General features: G+C 39.2%; 1 long non-coding RNA gene across 2 annotated transcripts in view, besides 1 other annotated feature; it reads right to left on the bottom strand.

Moving 5' to 3' along the window:
- LOC107986059 (uncharacterized) overlaps positions 1 to 18,267 on the bottom strand; it is a 125,190-nt gene extending 106,923 nt beyond the window's left edge. For both annotated transcript variants that reach the window (XR_007095784.1, XR_001740585.2), the window contains exons 1-2: positions 18,225 to 18,267; positions 15,076 to 15,136 (exon numbers count right to left, since the gene is read on the bottom strand). This is a non-coding gene — a long non-coding RNA (uncharacterized LOC107986059). The remainder of the gene's footprint in view (positions 1 to 15,075; positions 15,137 to 18,224) is intronic.
- Positions 4,632 to 5,133: an enhancer, noted in NCBI's record as "NANOG hESC enhancer chr3:933147-933648 (GRCh37/hg19 assembly coordinates)". NCBI's record gives its function as "activates a minimal SCP1, AML or CMV promoter by ChIP-STARR-seq in primed H9 embryonic stem cells {active_cell/tissue: H9 hESC(primed)}" and the evidence as "EXISTENCE:reporter gene assay evidence [ECO:0000049][PMID:30033119]".
- Positions 18,268 to 19,369: the final 1,102 nt, after the last annotated feature.

Here is a 19,369-nt window from a genome sequence, read left to right as displayed (position 1 = left end):
TTTTGTTTTCTATGGTGAATTTCCTTAAACATACGATATATATCCTTATTCATTTCTAATATAAGATAGTAGTTTAAAGCTTCCGCAAAAATGCAAGGCATTTAGATGTTAACTCAATTTCACTCCATCTATTATGCTATTGTTGCCATGTATTCTTATTCTCTCCATATTTTAAATCCTATGTGTCAGGCCTCTGAGCCCAAGCTAAGCCATCATATCCCCTGTGACCTGCATGTACACATCCAGATGGCCAGATCCTGCCTTAACTGATGACATTCCACCACAAAAGAAGTGAAAATGGCCTGTTCCTACCTTAACTGATGACATTGTCTTGTGAAATTCCTTCTCCTGGCTCATCCTGGCTCAAAAGTTTCCCTACTGAGCACCTTGTGACCCCCACTCCTGTCTGCCAGAGAACAACCCCTCTTTGACTGTAATTTTCCTTTACCTACCCAAATCTTATAAAATGGCCCCACCCCTATCTCTCTTCACTGACTCTCTTTTTGGACTCAGCCCACCTGCACCCAGGTGAAATAAACAGCTTTATTGCTCACACAAAGCCTGCTTGGTGGTCTTTTCACATGGATGCACATGAAATTTGGTGCCATGACTCAGATCAGGAGACCTCCCTTGGGAGATCAATCCCCTGTCCTCCTGTTCTTTGCTCTGTGAGAAAGATCCACCTACGACCTCAGGTCCTCAGACCAATCAGCCCAAGAAACATCTCACCAATTTCAAATCTAGTAAGCAGCCTCTTTTTACTCTCTTCTCCAATCTCCCTCACTATCCCTCAGCCTCTTTCTCCTTTCAATCTTGGCGCCACACTTCAATCTCTCCCTTCTCTTAATTTCAATTCCTTTCATTTTCTGGTAGAGACAAAGGAGACACGTTTTATCCATGGACCCAAAACTCCGGTGCCTGTCACAGACTGGGAAGGCAGCCTTCCCTTGGTGTTTAATCATTGCAGGGATGCCTGATTATTCACCCACATTTCAGAGGTGTCAGACCACACAGGGACACCTGCCTTGGTCCTTCACCCTTAGCGGCAAGTCCCGCTTTTCTAGGGGAGGGGCAAGTACCTCAACCCCTTCTCTCCATGTCTCTACCCCTTCACCGCCTTTCTGGGGGGCAAGAAACCTCCAACCCCTTCTCCTTCACTCTTAGCGGCAAGTCCCGCTTTTCTAGAGGAGGGGCAGGAACCCCAACCTCTTATATCTCTGTGCCCCAATCCCTTATTTCCACACCCCAACCTCTTATATCTCTGCACCCTGATCCCTTATTTCTGCACCCCGACCTCTTATATCTCTGCACCCTGATCCCTTATTTCTGCACCCTGACCTAATATCTCTGTGCCCCAACCCCTTCTCTGCTTTTCTGGAGGGCAAGAACCCCCGACCCCTTCTCCGTGTCTCTACTCTTTTCTCTGGGCTTGCCTCTTTCACTATGGGCAAGCTTCCACCTTCCATTCCTCCTTCTTCTCCCTTAGCCTGTGTTCTCATGAACTTAAAACCTCTTCAACTCTCACCTGACCTAAAATCTAAGCATCTTATTTTCCTCTGCAATGCCAGTTGACCCCAATACAAACTTGACAGTAGTTCCAAATAGCCAGAAAACGGCACTTTCAATTTTTCCATCCCGCAAGATCTAAATAATTCTTGTTGTAAAATGGGCAAACGGTCTGAGGTGCCTGATGTCCAGGCATTCTTTTACACATCAGTCCCTCCCTAGTCTCTGTACCCAGTGCAACTCGCCCCCAATCTTCCTTCTTTCCCTCCCGCCTGTCCCCTCAGTCCCAACCCCAAGTGTCACTGAGTCTTTCTAATCTTCCTTTTCTACAGACCCATCTGACCTCTCCCCTCCTCCCCAGGCTGCTCCTCACCAGGCTGAGCTAGGTCCCAATTCTTCCTCAGCCTCGGCTCCTCCACCCTATAATCCTTTTATCACCTCCCCTCCTCACACCGGGTCCTGCTTACAGTTTCATTGCACGTCTAGCCCTCCCGCACCTGCCCAGCAATTTACTCTTAAAAAGGTGGTGAAGCTAAAGGCATAGTCAAGGTTAATGCTCCTTTTTCTTTATCAGACCTTTCCCAAATCAGTGAGCGTTTAGTCTCTTTCATCAAATATGAAAAACCCAGCCCAGTTCATGGCTCGTTCGGCAGCAACCCTGAGACACTTTACAGCCCTAGACCCTAAAAGGTCAAAAGGCCATCTTATTCTCAAAGTACATTTTATTACCCAATCTGCTCCCGACATTAAATAAAACTCCAAAAATTAAATTCCGGCCCCCAAACCCCACAACGGGATTTAATTAACCTCGCCTTCAAGGTGTACAATAATAGAAAAAAGTTGCAATTCCTTGCCTCCACTGTGAGACAAACCCCAGCCACATCTCCAGCACACAAGAACTTCCAAACGCCTGAATCACAGCAGCCAGGCGTTCCCCCAGAACCTCCTCCCACAGGAGCTTGCTACAAGTGCCGGAAATCTGGCCACCAGGCCAAGGAATGCCTGCAGCCCAGGATTCCTCATAAGCCGCGTCCCATCTGTGCAGGAACCCACTGGAAATCAGACTGTCCAACTCACCTGGCAGCCACTCCCAGAGCCCCTGGAACTCTGGCCCAAGGCTCTCTGACTCCTTCCCAGATCTTCTCGGCTTAGCGGCTGAAGACTGATGCTGCCTGATCACCTCGGAAGCCCCATAGACCATCACGGACGCCGAGCTTCGGGTAACTCTCACAGTGGAGGATAAGTCCGTCCCCTTCTTAGTCAATACGGAGGCTGCCCACTCCACATTACCTTCTTTTCAAGGGCCTGTTTCCCTTGCCTCCATAACTGTTGTGGGTATTGACGGCCAGGCTTCTAAACCTCTTAAAACTCCCCAACTCTAGTGGCAACTTAGACAATACTCTTTTAAGCACTCCTTTTTAGTTATCCCCACCTGCCCAGTTCCCTTATTAGGCCGAGACACTTTAACTAAATTATCTGCTTCCATGACTGTTCCTGGACTACATCTGTATCTCATTGCCGCCCTTCTCCCCAACCCAAAGCCTCCTTTGCGTCCTCCTCTTGTATCCCCCCACCTTAACCCACAAGTATAAGATACCTCTACTCCCTCCTTGGCGACGGATCATGCACCCCTTACCATCTCATTAAAACCTAATCACCCTTACCCCACTCAACGCCAATATCCCATCCCACAGCATGCTTTGAAAGGATTAAAGCCTGCTATCACTCACCTGCTACAGCATGGCCTTTTAAAGCCTATAAACTCTCCTTACAATTCCCCCATTTTACCTGTCCTGAAACCAGACAAGCCTTACAAGTTAGTTCAGGATTTATGCCTTATCAACCAAATTGTGTTGCCTATCCACCCCGTGGTGCCAAACCCATATACTCTCCTATCCTCAATACTTCCCTCCACAATCCATTATTCCGTTCTGGATCTCAAACGTGCTTTCTTTACTATTCCTATGCACCCGTCATCCCAGCCTCTCTTCACTTTCACTTGGACTGACCCTGACACGCATCAGGCTCAGCAAATTACCTGGGCTGTACTGCCGCAAAGCTTCACAGACAGCCCCCATTACTTCAGTCAAGCCCAAATTTCTTCCTTATCTGTTACCTATCTCAGCATAATTCTCATAAAAACACACGTGCTCTCCCTGCTGATCATGTCCGATTAATCTCCCAAACCTCAATCCCTTACAAAACAACAACTCCTTTCCTTCCTAGGCATGGTTAGTGCGGTCAGAATTCTTACACAAGAGCCAGGACCTCACCCTGTAGCCTTTCTGTCCAAACAACTTGACCTTACTGTTTTAGCCTAGGCCTCATGTCTCCGTGCAGCGGCTCCTGCTGCCCTAATACTTTTAGAGGCCCTCAAAATCACAAACTATGCTCAACTTACTCTCTACATTTCTCATAACTTCCAAAATCTATTTCCTTCCTCATACCTGATGCATGTACTTTCTGCTCCCCCGGCTCCTTCAGCTGTACTCACTCTTTGTTAAGTCCCACAATTACCATTGTTCCCGGCACGGACTTCAGTCCGGCCTCCCACATTATTCCTGATACCACACCTGACCCCCATGACTGTATCTCTCTGATCCACCTGACATTTATCCCATTTCCCCATATTTTCTTCTTTCCTGTTCCTCACCCTGATCATGCTTGATTTATTGATGGCAGTTCCACCAGGCCTAATCGCCACACATCAGCAAAGGCAGGCTATGCTATAGTGCAAGCCACTAGCCCGCCTCTTAGAACCTCTCATTTCCTTTCCATCGTGGAAATCTATCCTCAAAGAAATAACTTCTCAGTGTTCCATCTGCTATTCTACTACTCCTCAGGGATTATTCAGGCCCCCTCCATTCCCTACACATCAAGCTCAAGGATTTGCCCCCACCCAGGACTGGCAAATTAGCTTTACTCAACATGCCCCGAGTCAGATAACTAAAATACCTCTTATTCTAGGTAGACACTTTCGCTGGATAGGTAAAGGCCTTTCCTACAGGGTCTGAGAAGGCCACCGCAGTCATTTCTTCCCTTCTGTCAGACATAATTCTTCAGTTTAGCCTTCCCACCTCTATACAGTCTGATAACAGACCAGCCTTTATTAGTCAAATCAGCCAAGAAGTTTTTCAGGCTCTTAGTATTCAGTGAAACCTTTATATCCCTTACAGTCCTCAGTCTTCAGGAAAAGTAAAACAGACTAAAGATCTTTTTAAAACACACCTCACCAAGCTCAGCCACCAACTTAAAAAGGACTGGACAATACTTTTACCACTTTCCCTTCTCAGAAGTCAGACCTGTCCTCAGAATGCTACAAAGTACAGCCCATTTGAGCTCCTGTATAGACGCTCCTTTTTATTAGGCCCCAGTCTCATTCCAGACACCAGACCAACTTAGACTGTGCCCCAAAAAACTAGTCATCCCTACTATCTTCTGTCTAGTCATACTCCTATTCACCATTCTCAACTACTCATACATGCCCTGCTCTTGTTTACACTGCCGGTTTACACTGTTTCTCCAAGCCATCACAGCTGATATCTCCTGGTGCTATCCCCAAACTGCCACTCTTAACTCTTGAAGTAAATAATCTTTGCTGGCAGGACTATGCTGAATCTCCTTAGGGACTCTCTAATCAGATGTCCTGAGTCGTCCCAATTCTTAGACCTTTTATACCTGTTTTTCTCCTTCTCTTATTCCATTTAGTTTTTCAATTCATACAAAACTGTATCCAGGCCAACACCAATAATTCTAAATGACAAATGTTTCTTCTAACAACCCCACAATATCACCCCTTACCACAAAATCTTCCTTCAGCTTAATGTCTCCCACTCTAGGTTCCCACGCCACCCCCAATCCCGCTGGAAGCGGCCCTGAGAAGCATCGCCCATTATCTCTCCATACCATCCCCCAAAATTTTCGCTGTCCCAACACTTTACCACTATTTCATTTTATTTTTCTTACTAATATAAGAAGACAGGAATGTCAGGCCTCTGAGCCCAAGCTAAGCCATCATATCCCCTGTGACCTGCACGTACACATCCAGATGGCCGGTTCCTGCCTTAACTGATGACATTCCACCACAAAAGAAGTGAAAATGGCCTGTTCCTGCCTTAACTGATGACACTGTCTTGTGAAACTCCTTCTCCTGGCTCATCCTGGCTCAAAAGCTCCCCTACTGAGCACCTTATGACCCCCACTCCTGCCTGCCAGAGAACAACCCCTCTTTGACTGTAATTTTCCTTTGCCTACCCAAATCTTATAAAATGGCCCCACCCCTATCTCTCTTCGCTGACTCTCTTTTCGGACTCAGCCCACCTGCACCCAGGTGAAATAAACAGCTTTATTGCTCACACAAAGCCTGCTTGGTGGTCTCTTCACACGGACGTGCATGAAACTATGTAATTAATAATGTTGCTTTGTATGGGAAGTATTCTTTTAGATGTTCCCACATAATATCCTTTTCACTGGTTTTCATTCCTTTCTGCTTATATTTCAAAACATTCTCATGATGGCTGAAGAGCTCTTTAGTGTAGTTCTGCTAGTGATAAATCCTATGACTTTTAGTTTAAATGAAAACATTTTAATTTTGCCTTCACTTTTTCAAGTAGATATAAGCTGCTTTATTTTTTATAATAAAACTTAATTGGCTGTTGAGCTCACCTGGAAATAGGGGAAAAAATCTTTGTAATTCTAAACCGTTCAATTTCAAGTTCATTCTCCATTATTTGTCTTTTCATTTTAAAGAATGTTTTTGCCAGGAATAAAATTCTAGTTTGGCAATATGGTACCTGCCCCCTAAGAAAAATTCAAGGATCACAGTTTTTGACTTCTAGTTTCCAATGTTTCTTATAGTAAATCAATTAAACGTGTTATAATATTGTTGCAACTTTAAAGGTAGTATGACACTTTCTTATCTAGCTTATTTAGGATTTTTTTTTTCATTTTACTATTTTCCATGATGTGGTAGGTATGGCTTATTTGAATTTATCCTTCTTAATAAATGCAGTGTTGCATGAATCTATTACTTGTTTTCTATTGTCAGTTTTAGAATATCCCTAGCCATTATTTCTTTAAATAATACTTTTTCTCCATTCTTTTTCTGTTCTGAACCACAATAAATATTTTTGACATTTATTCACTATGTCGTATGTGTTTCTTATGCTTTTCTGAATCTTCCATTTTTTTCTCTCTGTTTTTCAGTATATGTTGTCTCTGACCTACTTAGCACTTTACTCATCCTCTTGTCAATTATATCTAGTCATATCTAGTCTGTTGTGCTTTGAACCTCTTGAGTCTTTAATTGTATTTGTTATATTTTAAGGTTCAAAAATTTTATTTATTTTGATAGTTTACAGTTAGTGTTGTCAAATAAAGGGCACCCAGTTGAACCTGAATTTCAGTAACAATAAACTTTTAGTATAAATATATCCCAAATATTTCATGCGATATATTGTATAAAGTATTTGCTATTTACTTGATATTTAAAATTAACTTGGAACTCTATATGTTTATTTGGTAAGTCTAGCAATCCTAATTTCTGTTCTCTAATGAACATTTCCATGGCCATCTAATTTTTTGAATATTTAAAACATTTAAAATACTTAACATATTAAATATTTATTTCGAAATTACTTAAGATAACCCCAATATCTGGATTTCCCATGAACTATATATTTTTTTCTTTTTCTTTCTCCTGGTTTTGGTTATGTAGACTTCATGGTAGGCAGAATTCTAAGATGACTCCCAAGATGTCTGGTTCCATGTGCATAAACCCTGCATAATCATCTCCCCTTGAGTGTAAGAGGAAACTGTGAATATGAGGGGATATTACTGCCAAGATTGTTATTTTATATAGCAAAGCGGTTTACAGATGTAATTAGCATCTTACTCACTTGACTTTAAATTAACCAATAGAAAGCTGATCCTTATTAATCTTATGTTTAGGTCAGTGTGAGTCTGATCTAACGAATTTAGCTTTTATTAAATGCTGTCAAGAGGTTAGGGACAAGATAAGTCAGATTTAATGTGAGAAAGATGCTCTTCTGCTCGTCTTGAAGACAAAGCAGTCTTCTATGTTGTGAGAAGTCCTATGATGGAGGACACTTGGCATGGGATTGTGAGCATAATTTAGAAGCTTGACATATCCTCCGGCCAAGAGCCAGAAAGGAAACAACTTTGGTCAGTCCTGTAGCCACAAGGAACGATAACCTGAACATGTGTAGGAGAGGACCTCAAGCTTCAGACGAGATCGCAGTCCCAATGACACCCTGAATACAGCAAAACTCAGCTAACCTCTGCTGAAACATGGATATTTTGAGATAAGAAGTTTGTGTCTTTTTTTCTAGAGATTTTTGGTGTGAAAGTTGGTCTGCAGCAAACTAGCCTACCAGTACCAGAAGCAAAGCAAATGTCAAATACTATTTTAACAATTCTAATTTTAAAAATACACTCAATCCCAATAGATTGACTCTAAGTATGTCATCATTTTAAAAAATTATTTTTGATGCTACAAATGTAAAAGTATCTAAAATTCTCAGTTTACGAAATACAAGAAATTAAAAATTTGCAAATAAATATAAAAAGAAAATTTCAAGAGGATTTGTAGATTTATAGAAAGTTTTCTTTCAGGATTTACTTAAAAAATCATACTCTCTATGTTGAATTCAATATGGTAACCTAGGCATATATGTTTCCTTCATTACTGAGATCCCACAGAAGTAAAAGTAATAATATAAATAAATGTAGAAGTGCAAATGCAAAAAAAGTTTACAAAAAAAGTCAACAAATTTCTAAAAATTGGAAAATAGATGAAAGAGGTAAAACAAAACACTGCAATTCAAAGTGGGAGAGTCTGCTAAGCAGAACCTCTGCCATCCTGTGACTTCAGATTGAGAAGGTGCTGATCGTTTTGAGAAGACAATGAGGGTCAAAAACTGAAATTAATTGAAGTGCTGTGTGTGGACCAATTTCACAGCTTGACAGAAATTTCTCTCTCAAAGCAGTAGAGAGTGTAAATGGCAACCATGTTTATCATGAGGGAAATAACATCCCAAAAGTAATTAATTTTTTTCTAAAAGCACTGCATTTTGTCTTTGGGGAAAATGAAGATCTTTGATGAGTATGCTGGTTCTCACCTAACCTTAGCATTTGGGGAATCTGTGACCAACATCACTGTCCTTCTACAACATGAATTGACAGCTGGAGATCACTAAAGAGAGTGAAAAAGAAAAATACATGGAAAAGCTTGTTCCAAAACAAACAGACCCAATTTATGGAAAGAAAACAATTTTAAAAGTGATGCTCTGTAAATAAACATTCAAAAATATATGACAACCATTAAAATGTAGACCATGCTATAAAAAGTTAAATACAAGAATAGTCACTTAGAGAATAAAAATAGGACTTTAAAATAAAGCTGAATAATTCTTATAAAATATGAAGAAAGAAAAAAATACAAAAAAGGAACAAATTCAGATGATTCGGTATCTCAGTAAGAACACAGATGAAGAATAGATAGTACAAGAAATAATTGAAGATAATTTTGCAGAAATGAAGAAGGACATAAACCTTCTGATTTGAAACCTGAGTATCCAGCAAAAGGAATTTAAAAAGAACCCAGGCATACTGTCTTGAAATTTCAGAACACTTAAGATAAAAAGAAGCTCCCAAAAGCTTTCTCATTTTTGAGAGAAAAACAGCAAGTTCACTATTAATGAGAAGACCATCAGATTCCTTATTATCTATACTGGATGACAAAGACAATGGACAGATGATTTTAAATTTGGGAGGAGTGATAAGAGAAGAAGGAAGTGAAAGAGAAAAGAGGGAAAGAAGGAAGGAAGAAAGGCGGGAAGGAAGAAAGGAATGAGGGAGGGAGGGAAAGAAGAAGGAAGGAAGGAAGAAAGGAAGGAAGGAAAGAAAAGAAAAGATACTTTCAGATGCACAAGTAGAAAAAATAATTTCTTCTTGTCTACATTTTTATATAAGTAGCTCTCATAAAAATTAAAATTATAAACAGATTTTGCTTTTGGGAGAAAAAGAGATTGAGGAAAGACCACTGTTACTGTCATTTTGTTATAAATCTTTTTGCATCCTTAGATTTTTAATCAGTATTAATCCTAAGCATGCATTGATTTAAGGCAATTACATTTATTATTTAATTAATTTGATATAACATCAATTTTACCTGAAACATTTCAGTCCAATAGAAACTACTATTTTTCATTATTGTATAAACAAATAGACTAGTTATGATTGATCATTTAATTGTACTACTCTCTCCTCATTTTCTCCAACCCTAGCCCTGATGTAAGTTATTCATAGTAGTCGGCCTGGCTCATAATTATCCACCAACATAAATCCTTACTTTGGAATACATTCTTTGTTATAAAACTCGATTCTAAAGAAATTCTCTTCATCATGCTTGCCATGTGATGTCCATGGTTAATGTTACAAGACAACAAAGAAAACATGCATAGTAAAGGTTGCTAGAAATCTTATTTGAAAAAAGTCTATTTTATCATCACAGGTAGCTGGTTATTGCATCTTGTCATAAAATCTGAATGATGCGTCCAGTGCTATTATAGAATGTATTTGCAGCAATACAGGGCTGGTACTGTCGTCAAATACCATGTTTCGCTTTCACACTTAATTGACTTCCAAAGTCGCTGATAATCTTAATCCAAATAAACATGTTAAAACGCTGTTGTTATACAAAAGTACTTCAAATGGGGTACGATAATAGTTTGTTTTATTGTTTGATCTTTGAGAGACCACTGGGATTATCTAATTCAATTAATCTACGTTTCTCTTGTCTGAACAACTGATTACATAACCATATTTAGATCTTCACAAAAGAGCCTATGTATAACGCAGACTCTGCCAAAAGTAACCAGTTTCATTATTACTTGTTCTCATACGCAAAGCACTTTTTTACCCCATAATATAACAGTGAAGAAAGTAGATAAAGTATCTTCACTGATGGAGCTTCCATTGTGTAACAGTAATTGTGGTTTTGCAATAAAACAACAAAAACCAGCAAAACAGTAGGCAAAAGTAGCCCCATGTTAAAATAAAAGTACAACCTATTTGCATTTCTGGAATAGAGCATTAATCTGGTTAGTAAAATAAAAAGCCCAATTTCTGATTTTACTTGTGGAACATATTCAAATTTGCCCTCTCAAATGCAAGGATCTTCTAGTGACTACAGAATTTCTCTGAGCTAGTTGAAAGCCCAAATATTCTTCAGTTCTGAATCAAATTCAACTCTTCCTTGACAGCACCCTTGATCTTTCTAGATGAAGAACTTGTCCCTCATCTTCATCCTTACATCTTGTCTCTCATATAGAAAATATTACATACAGCAACATCCATTAGAAATCAGTAATGATACTCAATTTCTTCAATTGTAGTCAAATTTCCTTGAAATTCAGATGTATGTTCTCAAACTGAAATAGGCCAATTGATATGGTTTGGCTGTGTCCTCACCCAAATCTCATCTTGAATTGTAGCTCCCATAATTCCTTCATGTCGTGGGAGGGACCCAGTGAGAGGTAATTGAATCATGGGGTTGGGTTTTTCCTATGCTTTTCTTGTGATAGTGGATAAGCCTCACAAGATCTGATGGTTTTATAAAAGGTAGTTCCCCTGCATGTGCTCTCTTGCCTGCTGCCATGTAAGATGTGACTTTGCTTCTCCCTTGCCTTCTGCCATGATTATGAGGCCTCCCCAGCCATGTGGAACCATGAGTCCATTAAACCTCTTTCCTTTATAAATTACTCATTCTTGGGTAGGTCTTTATTAGCAGCATGAGAACAGACTAATACACGAATAGAGTGACAGATACAGTTTAATAAGCCCTAGACTCAACTCTGTATTCTATCACTAACAATCCCTGTGATGACACTTAAAACCTTAATGATTCAGAATCTCAATTTCCCTTCTATAAAGTAGAGATGCTTCATTAAGATAATCGTGTGATTATATTTCTACTTCATAGCAGCTAACATAATACTTTTACTATAGTCAACTTTTGTAAACATTTGTTAAATATTAAATGAATTTACTTCAGGAGTAAATGATTTGGGGTGATAAAATGAAGAAGATATAAAATATGCACCGAGGGGAGTGTGTCTCCAGGTCTGGTCCTGACATTTACTGGTTCTATAGGTTTGATCAAGTTTCAATTTTTCTGTAAAGTGGGCATAAAACCTAGACCTAATTCAAATCCCTCTGTGTACATCAAATAAAGACATTTGCAGTGGAACTTTCCTTTGACATATATGTCTCATTTTGCTCCCTTTGCATATTGCCCTTTTCCATTCAATGAGCTTGTGCTTATTGAATCAGTAGATAGATATAGCAGAGAACACACTTGAAACAGTCAGAGGCTTCCTGGTTCTTTCTCAGCCTCTGTGTATAAAGAAAATGCACTGGGCATAAACAACGTGCTTGACTCAGAAATAGGCATGTAGGTGGAATACTAAGCAGCCATAAAAAGAATGAGTTCATACCCTTTTCAGGGACATGGATGAAGCTGGAAGCCATCATTCTCAGCAAACTAACACAAGAATAGAAAACCAAACACCGCATCTTCTCACTCATAAGTGGTGGTTGAACAATGAGAGCACATGGATATAGGGAGGGGAACATCATACACTGGGGCCCGCTGGAGGGTTGGGGAACAAGGGGAGAGAGAGCATTAGGACAAATACCTAAGGCATGCGGGCCTTAAAACATAGATGATGGGTTGATGGATGCAGGAAATCACCATTGCACATGTATACCTATGTAACAAACCTGCATGTTCTGCACATGTATCCCAGAACTTAAAGTAAAATAAAAAGTCATGTAGAAAAAAGAAGGGAAGCAGTGAAAACAGGATAGCAGGCCCAGGGCTGAGCTGTGAAAGAGGCATCGAGACTTGAAAAAAAGGCTACGTGCTTTGTAGAGACAGAGAAACAGAGGCTGTACAAAAAAACCCAAATAGAGAACTGTGACCCTTCACGTTATATCTATTAACTCGTGCAGTCAGATGACTCACTGAGCAGGGCCTGTGCCCCTTCTTGGCACTGTATATAATTTCATGTGCATCCACAACAGGTTTTAAGTTTAGAGAACCCCTGCACACACACACCCACACACACACACACCCATAAGGTTAAGCTTTCCATATGCTTGGTGGGATTAAAATATAAGTGGTCTAAACATGTATATAACTGATTTTTTTGCATACCAATATATGTACACTGAGATTCATATCTTCAAATGTGAAAGATATCTATAAACTGCACATTGCTACTGAGTAGGAGTTACTATTTTAAAGTGATGATTAAATGGGCACATTGGATGTAATTTAAACAGTTTCTGCAGTATGGTATGTACTAAGTTATTATTCTTACCATTATTGTCACTGTACAAACAATAGAGATGCACTGTAGTTGTAGAGGCTGCACACACATGAAATAGTAAGCATTAAGAAGCTGCACACACATGAAATAGTAAGCATTAAGAGGCTGCACATACATGAAATAGTAAGAATTAAGAGTGAGTCTCTTGTGCATTCTCTTGAAGAGCAAAAACACAGCCACATTTACTTATATATTATCTACCATTCTATCTTTGTCTACAAAGAGCTAATGAGATCTGGATTGACACAAAGGTGACAATGCATGTGGGGAATGAGGCAGATGGGGACAACTGACAACCTGTACATCACTTCTAAAATAATTGTGAGTTTACAGGGGTGAACACCTGTACCATCTGCAAAAGTAGTTCATTCACAAAATGCCTTACAGAATGTTGTAGCTTTATTTAGGCAACCTGCATGCCATTTACACCTTCAAGACAATATTAGTGGAGACTAAGAGATTCAGCAAAAATGACTTGCTGATTAAACCAATATAACAGGCAGTGACTCAATACACGTAGAAGACTTTCTACAGAAAATGTCATAATACTGTTTAGTATAATTTACCTCCAAATTAAAACACTGAACCAACAAATTAATGTCACAGTCTAAGTTTCTGATCATTTTATTTAAAAACAGTTTCTCCCTTCCCATCTGTGCCCCAGTAGGGATACTATAAAACCATAAATGAGTCTACCTAGGCATTTTTAATTTTGTTTTTATTTTCCACTGGGTTAATACCTTCTTACATCAGAGTCACAGATACTCTAGCTCTTTCGTGTGCAAAGCTTGTTATACAGATCTGACGGTGGGATCTTTTGAACTTTGTTAATCTGAACTGCTTCTCTACATACCTAACGTGACTCTAAGGTAACTGAAAGACTTCCTATCTCTTGACTCACTCAATTCTTTGTTTTTTGTTTTTTTTTTTCTATTGCTTTTCCAACAGCAATCTCATGGGAAAACAATGCTTAGATTTAGCCACTTCTCCATGAATCATGCTTACTAATCTTTGGATATAATTATAAAATACCACATTGTCATGCTCACTTCCCATGTAGCATTGTTATTGTTTTTTGTTTTCATTTTAGCTGGGGCAGGGTCTTGCTCTATCACCCAGATTGGAGTGCAGTGATGTGATCATAGCTCTCAAAGCAGTCTCAAATTTCTGGGCTCAGGCGATCCTCTCACCTTAGCCTCCCTAGTATCTAGGACTACAGGCATGCGCCACCACACTTAGCTCCATTTTGCTTTTAAAAATGGTGTATTACAAGAACCAACTGAAAGATCTCCCAGTGGTCAAAGCAAGAACAATGTGAGTAACAAAATAAGTATTGGATTGTAACCCAAACTATACTATAGATATTTATATGTTTATAATAATATAAATAAGTAGTGATTCATTTACATTGTATCAAGACAAGTATATAAATAAATGAAATAAACAAATACCCTTTGTATAAGAATATGAAATAATTTATGTAGATACTACTTCACTCCCTCAAGGAGGTGGAAGATAACTCCCCACTTTTTAAGTGTGGGTTGTACATAATAACCTATGTCTAAAGTATACAGTATTGTAAACAGGGGAATATAATTTCACAGTGGCATACCTGAAAAACACTACTTCAGCCCAGTGTCCATGGTCAACATCAACAGCAATAAGTCATGTCAATGGCGTATGCCCTTGAGATGATGTGATAAGAATGCCACTTTATCTGTCTGGTCTTCCTCCCATAAATGTGTGTCCCAGTTTAATCAAAAGGAAAACATCACCAGGCACAAAAAGTCAAATATTGCATGTTCTTGCTCATAAGTGGGTGTTATAAAACGTGTAGACATGGATGTAGAGTGGATAATAGACAATGGAGACCCACAAGGGTGAGGGGGTTGGGGGGGTAAATGAGAAATTACTTCAATGTACACTGTACATCATTTAAGTGATGGATACCCTAAAGCCCTGAGTTAACCACTGTGCAATATATGCATGTAACAAAATTGCACTTGTATACCACACATGTATACAAATGGGAAAAATATTTTAAAGAAAAACATCAATCAAGCCTCAGTTGATGTGTAGATTACAAAATACCTAACCAATTCTCATCCAAACTGTCAAAATCATCAAAAACAAGAGAAGTGTGAGAAATACTCACAGTAAAGAGACGACTAAAGAGACATGACTGCTAAATGTAATGTGGTATCCTGGATGAGATCCTGGAACAGAGAAAGGACACTTCTTAAAAACTAAAGGACTCTAAATGAACTACAGACTTCATGAAATCGTAATCAATGGTATCACTATTGTTTCATTAATTAAAACACTACACAACACTAATGTACAATGTTAATAGGGGAAACTAGATACAAGTATAGAAACTCTTTGCAATTTATTTGAAAATACAAAGCTATTATAAAATTTTAAAGAGATCTGAAGGTTTCACATTCTTCTTTCCATATAATCATCTGCACATTGTCTTTCTGTGACTACATCTGCTTTTACTGTCCTAAATAACATTAACTAAATTTTCATTCTTACTTTAATCATTTTTCCTTTTTTTTTTTGTTTTTTTTTGTTTTTGAGACAGAGTTTCACTCTTGTTGCCCAGGCTGGAGTGCAATGGCAAGATCTTGGCTCACCACAACTTCCACCCCCCGGGTTCAAGCAATTCTCCTGCCTCAGCCTCCCGAGTAGCTGGGATTACAGGCATGCGCCACCATGCCCAACTAATTTTTGTACTTTTAGTAGAGACGAGGTTTCACCATGTTGGTCAGGCTGATCTCAAACTCCTGACCTCAGGTGATCTGCCCGCCTCGGCCTCCCAAAGTGCTGGGATTACAGGCGTGAGCCACTGCGCCCGGCTTCTTTAATCATTTTTCTTCTGTTTTGTTTGTTTGTTTTTAATTTCCTTTAGTAGTCATTAAGGCCAAAGAATCAATTTATTTTTCAAAAGGTGATGTTGATCTGAGAAAAAGAGGACTTAGATTTGAGACCCATCTTGTTTTCTTCCCAAGCAGAAAATTGCCAAATCTTGCCAACTACCAAATTCCACAGAGGCTCCCCTCCCCACAGAAATAGCAAATCCACTTTAAAGATTTGTTTACAAGGCGGAAACTCAAATCCCCTGCCGTCTAACTGCCCCAGCTGCAGGGAATTACCTCAAAGGTCTTAATCCCCTAACAACTAATCAATTCCAAACTGAAAACTTCATTTTGCCTTTAAAAGATGAGCACCGCTCAATTATGCTTTCTTCATTCTGCCTACACAGATTGAAAATAGATACTGGCATGTCCATGCAGTTCAATTGATTATAACATTAATTCACGTAAAGGGGCGAAGAAAATGAGTTTGATTATAGTTTTTACTTTCTAGAGTATGGCAAAAGACAAAAGCCTAAAGGATTTGGAAATGTATTCAACAGGGCTGATGACAGCACACCGATCTGAGTATTACGACCTCATGAAACAGGAACAGCTTCCTCTTAACACTATATCCAGAACGGGGTTTTGTTTCTGGGAAGAAACTTCTTGGTATATTCAATGCTATCCTCTACTTTAGAAACGCAGATTCCATGTGGAAGTATAACACTAAGTTGACTTCCTTTTAGAATTGTATGGTCCGTGCCAAGTCACTGCCATCTATAGTTTTGAGGCCCCTGTGATAAAGGAGATGTGGAAGAAGGCTAGGCAAGGAGCTGGGTGCAATGGCAGGGAACTGACTCCTGAGAGGAAGTCTTTGACGTCCTCTCACAAGTCAGACTACAAAGATTCAACTGCTGAGAGAAAAATGTCTCTTTAAAGAACAGCTCTCTGAATTTTTAAGAATTCTGAAAGAGGGTGAAAGTTCAAGAGCTGCCAGTTCTCTTTTCCTCTGTAGCTGCTTCCATCAGTGTGCTGCTTGTGTAAAACTGCTATAATCCAGGCTCTAAGATTCTATATTTTGCCCACAGTCAGGACCTTGAGAGAGAAAATGGTGAGGAGAGTCAGCATCACTGTGGCTTAGAACAGGGCTTTGCACTCTGTAGTCTGGCTCAGTGCTCTTCACAGTTTGATGTGCATAGGAATCACCTGGGGTCTTCTGAAAATGTGGATTCTCATTTGTTAAGCAGGGAGTGACACCGCCAGGTCTCTATTTCTATCAAGCTCCAGGATAACCTTGAAGCTGATGCTTTACAAATCACACTGTGGGTAACAAGAGGCTGGCTAATTTATTCCTATGCATCATACAAAGGATTAGAGTCTGAATGCCCAAGACTTGGGAACATCTGGAGGGCACCCTCCATGGACCTAATGTCTTTTTAAATATCAACTCCCTTTCTCCTCCCAGTCCACGAAATTTTTAAAAATTCTTCTTTTCTTGATGTTTCTTTCTCTTCACATATTTATAGCAGTTAACACTCCTAGCTTCTTTTATCTTAGAGGGTTACTTTCTTTATTTCCTCTGTATGAATATATATGTTCAGAAATGTTACTGAATGATTTTCAGCCTTTTCCAACCACCCTCTCCAGAGTCATTTGAAAGCTTGATTTCGTTCCTTTCTCCATCCCTATCCTTAGTATAGTTTTGGTAGTTTATTTTGATAAAACCGTATCTATCTTCTATGTACCTTTAGGTTTCTATTACAAAATACTATTCTATTAGCTTAACTTGGTAGGTGTTCTAATTTTTCCTTCCCCCAATTTCTAGAATTCCAGATGACTAACATTGCAACACTGATGTGGTAAGCAAATGAGAATCATTAAAAACAAAAACAAAACCTTTTAGAAAGCATGCATATATGAATGGGTCACTAGGTTAGTTTTTATTTGTTTTGTTTCATATTACAAATAAGTCAGTGAGTATTGTGAAAGTGTAGGCATTCAAATCATTTTGCTATATTATTTTTCTATTAGAAATGAGAATGGGCAAGTATAAGTAAATATGAATTTCCTATTCTTAGTGACTTTATGGTGTGGAAGACTTGAAATGATATAGAAAACATTCATGCTGTTGTAACTATTGTGTTGTTTCTGTGATTATATGTTGGAGAAGTTTAGTGTAGAGTTCTGAAGATGACAGATCGAATTGGTAGACTACGGAATCTGATTAGGGCCTCAGAGTTGCTTTTTTATTTCTAGCACAGCATGTTAGGGGTAAGAAATGGATTTTAGCCGGGCACGGTGGCTCATGCCTGTAATCCGAGCACTTTGGGAGGCCTAGGCAGGCAGATCACGAGGTCAAGAGATCGAGACCATCCTGGCTAACACGGTGAAACCCCATCTCTACTAAAAATACAAAAAATTAGCTGGGCGTAGTGGCACACACCTGTAGTTCCAGCTACTCGGGAGGCTGAGGCAGGAGAATCACTTGTACCTGGGAGGCGGAGCTTGCAGTGAGCCAAGATCACACTACTGCACTCCAGCCTGAGTGACAGCCAAGACTCCATCTCAAAAAGAAAAAACAAAAAGGATTTTAATGGCTTTAGAAGAGGCTTGCACTTTAGCTCTAAAAGACTTTTTCTCACACGCTCCACTTTCTCATATCCACACATGTTGCCCATTGTTTCAATCCACTCGTGTTTATTACCTGTTTTGTGTTTAAAGTATTTAAATGTGCATAGCCATTATATAGTTGGGCTCAGTAAAGAACTGGAGTAAACTCCAGTGCATCTGCTGATGGCATCTGCTGTCCCAGCACAATGGGCACTGGGGTTTTTAGTCTTCGTTAACTTTCTGCATAAATTTGTCTGTTTGTTTTTATTTAAACCAGGCTCTTTAGCCACATAACAACTTTTCCAGTGGGAAACAGACCACCTAATACAAAAAACTGATCATTCAGTCCCTTCTTTTCCTTGTTAACTTAAAAGCATTCATTAAAAATCCCCTTCACATACCTAAAAGTTGAGGGGGACCTCTAAACTATTCCAAACTCACTAGACTTTACTTATCTTGCCTTTCATCAACATGTGTATAAATTAACAATGGTGTACTAAGGGCTAGCAAGCCTAACTTTATTAGGAAAATTAGTCCAATAATAGTAATTATGTTCTTTCTCGTTTATACCCTGAACTGAGAATTAACTTTTCCATCTACAAGGAAACTGCTGCAGACTGATCTTAATAATCTTATTAATTATATTCAGAAAAGCAATATGAACAAGGACTCCTCAAAGTTCTTCTAGAGTTTAAGGATAATTATTGAAAAGTTCTATCATATTTTATATGTCCAACTGAACTGTAAGTCATCAGTGGATTATCTATGTGGTAGAGATATTTGCCCCAGACTTTACTTTCTATTTGGCTAACAAATTCATTTTAAAATATCTATTATTTTGTTCTGAAAAATGCAGTGTGCTGGGTTCTATACAGTGGCTGTCTCTTTTGCTATGAAAGTCCTCTTGTTTCATACATTTTTCTTGTTCTTATTTTTGGCAGTTATACCCTATTCAGGCAATGGAAAACAGTTATCGGC

This window comes from Homo sapiens, chromosome 3 (assembly GCF_000001405.40).
Source record: "Homo sapiens chromosome 3, GRCh38.p14 Primary Assembly".
Taxonomy (NCBI): Eukaryota; Metazoa; Chordata; class Mammalia; order Primates; family Hominidae; genus Homo; species Homo sapiens.
The sequence above is the reverse complement of the archived record's forward strand: the minus strand, read 5'-3'. Positions and strand labels throughout refer to the sequence as shown.